General features: G+C 35.0%; 1 long non-coding RNA gene across 1 annotated transcript; it reads right to left on the reverse strand.

Annotated features, from left to right (window-relative positions):
- Positions 1-642: 642 nt before the first annotated feature.
- On the reverse strand, positions 643-1,761 carry LINC00564 (long intergenic non-protein coding RNA 564). The gene has a single exon (NR_047494.1). It is a non-coding gene; the product is annotated as a long intergenic non-protein coding RNA 564 (long non-coding RNA).
- Positions 1,762-3,179: the final 1,418 nt, after the last annotated feature.

Genomic DNA, 3,179 nt, shown 5'->3' on the forward strand with positions numbered 1-3,179 from the left:
TATGCTATCTGTGTCAGCTAAGCTTCAAATCTGCATATAATCGGATTTGTTCGAGGAACAGATAAGGGGACTAAGGAGAAGAGTTTCCTGTTTTGCCAAAAGTAGAGGAGAGGAAACGATGGAGAAGCGAGCCTGGTGACTGAACTCTCCTACCCGATGGAGGACTAGCTGAGACCTATTGAGGAGTGGATGAATTTATTTTTCTAAGAAGAAACTCTGATATTAAAGTTGGTGCTTAGACTCAGGTGACAATATGCAAAAAAGAAAAAATGAAGGAGTGAGCTCTTCGGTTATTTTAGTCATGTGGAGTCACTTTAGTACTTGGATAACAGATTTGGAAACATGAAAAAGATTGCACGCTGGTGTGTTGATTTCATACTCACAAGAAGAATCAGAAACACTGGTGGAAGCTAAGGCATTTATGTAGCATCTCCATCAGAGTTCAGCAATTAACAATTAACAGGTTTAGAATAGGAAAAAGGGAAATGGCCATAGCGAAGTAATTATTGCTGGCAATTTTTTTAAGCACATATGTAACATTCCCTGGAGACCAACAGAACATTCCCTGGAGACTAACAGAAATAAACAGCTCAATGCGGGGCTCATTTCCCGTAAAAGCAAGTGAGATGGGACACAACAAAATTTGTGTTATAACTTTTACTCTGACTTAAAATACAGGATGGCACAACTTGAGAAAATTTAAATTACACATTTAAAACCCTTTCTCAAATTAACCTCTACATAAAATCCAGTTTTACTTTGACATGTGTATATTAAAATCTGAGTCAAAAAATGAAATGCATTAGATTATCCTTAAATGAAACAGCTGTTTATGATACTGTTCTTAATTTCTTTGCTAGTTACAAAGATATGTTACTAACTATAACTGCAAACGAAAAAATTTTAATACAAAACAGCTAATATTATTTTAAAAATAATACTTGTCTTCTGAAACAATTTAATTTCATATTGAGAGCTAAGTGACATTTTTATTTTCTAAGTTTCCAATCTTAAGAAAGGAAGACAATTAGAATGAATGTGGATACATAATTGATTCTGCCAGGCTAGAAGGGGAAAAAATATTTTTGTCAAAAATGTCAAAAATATGTTTCCTTGTTGTTATTAATTACAAAGCCCTAATTAAATAATACCCTGGGAACTCTAAATCAATGACAGATGACTTTGTCCTTCAGAAGGAGCAGATGGGAGGATGTCAGTATAAATTTGAATTATATTAGGTTAAAGGTATAAATAAACATTATTATCATAAAAATGATGTGTCAAAACACATTTTAAATAATTTTTTTAATACAATTTGTCACTCTTGCCTTTTTTTAACCCTTTGACCAACAGCTCCCCATTTACCTCCAATCCAAGCTTCTGGCAACCTCTGCTCTACTCTCTGCTTCCATGAGTCTGGCTTTATTAAATTCCATATACAGGTGAGACTGCATCTGGAATTGGTGGGTTCTTGGTCTCGCTGACTTCAACAATGAAGCCGCGGACCCTCCGGTGAGTGTTGCAGTTCTTAAAGATGGTGTGTCTGGAGTTTGCTCCTTCTGATGTTCGGATGTGTCCAGAGTTTCTTCCTACCGGTGGGTTCGTGGTCTCCCTGGCCTCAGGAGTCAACCTGCAGACCTTCACAATAAGTGTTACAGCTCATAAAGGCAGTGCAGACCCAAACAGTGAGCAGCAACAAGATTTATTGCAAAGAGCAAAAGAACAAACACCACACTGCATGCCAACAGAAAGCAGCCAGCTGCCGTTGCTGGCTAGAGTGGCCAGCTTTTATTGCCTTATCTGGCCCCACCCACAGTCTGCTGATTGGTCCATTTTACAGAGAGCTGATTGGTCCATTTTACAGAGAGCTGATTGGTCCGTTTTGACAGAGTGCTGATTGGTGCGTTTACAAATCTTTAGCTAGACACAGAGCACTGATTGGTGTGTTTACAATCCTTTAGCTAGACAGAAAAGTTCCCCAAGTCCCTACCCGACCCAGAAGCCCAAGATGATGCGGTATTTGTCTTTGTTTGGCTTATTTCACTTCACTAATGTCCTCTATTCTTGCTATTCTGTCTCATCTGTTTGTCCTTTCTTTTCATGAAATGTTCTATAAAATATTCTAGAATATCTTCAAAATGTTTTTACTCTTAGATGATTAAGGATAAGTTCCAATTAAATTTCCTTCTCAGAGAATGCTCTCTCAATTTCCCATTGCTTTATTCTGTATTTTTATTGGAAAGTTAAATACCAATTTTTGTTATTATCATTTTGAAGAAAATCAGAAAAGAACAAATACTGCCTGTTTATATATCATAATACATAGAATCATTTTCAAAAGAAATATTTTCCAGGTTGAATTTCAGTGAGGGAGTTGAAAGACTTTATATCCCTCTGTTTCTTTACCCAGAATTTAACGTGATACTGTTCACTAAACAGAAAAATTAGTATAGCAATATCTAAAACACACGTACACTCAACGCACATTAATAAGAACATAAGAAAGAGCACAGGTATTGCTGCTTTTCTATATTTATTAAGCTTTTCAATTTTAAAATATTTACTATTTCATTCTCATGATTTAGAGAAAATACAGTTACAGGACTTTGTTTACCTTTGATAACCTAGTTAAGAGTAAAGGCATTTAGGGAAGAAAAGCCAGTGAAGTATATATTAGATATATGCCTATACTTCAAATAACATTAAATCATTTCCTGATCCTTGGAGAGAAGTTGCAGAGATTTAAGAGATATGAATTCTATCTCCAATTGTACAGCTATTGTAAGTTGCAGAGATTTAAGAGATATGAATTCTATCTCCAATTGTACAGCTATTGTTATGCCTGTACTTTTACTGCAAATGATTAATAATGTGAAATTAGTCACTGTGGGGAACTAACAGTATGGTAAGTGTCCTCTTTAAATTAGCTCTGAGGAAGAAACATTAATGGATTTCTATTGCTTCAGTTGATTTTTCTTCTCAATTCTCTATACATGTTGAAAGGTTTTGAAGACCCTAGACAATACATTCAGTCTTAGCGGTAAAAAATTAAATAACTGGATAATTATACTTGGAAAAGTTAAATGAAGAGATGAACTGAATATTATAATTTTATGCATCTTTGCTATCAATGACTCACCCCTGTTGATAATTCATAACATTCTGTCATTTGCATATTT

The sequence above is a fragment of the Homo sapiens genome, chromosome 13, assembly GCF_000001405.40.
Source record: "Homo sapiens chromosome 13, GRCh38.p14 Primary Assembly".
Classification (NCBI taxonomy): Eukaryota; Metazoa; Chordata; class Mammalia; order Primates; family Hominidae; genus Homo; species Homo sapiens.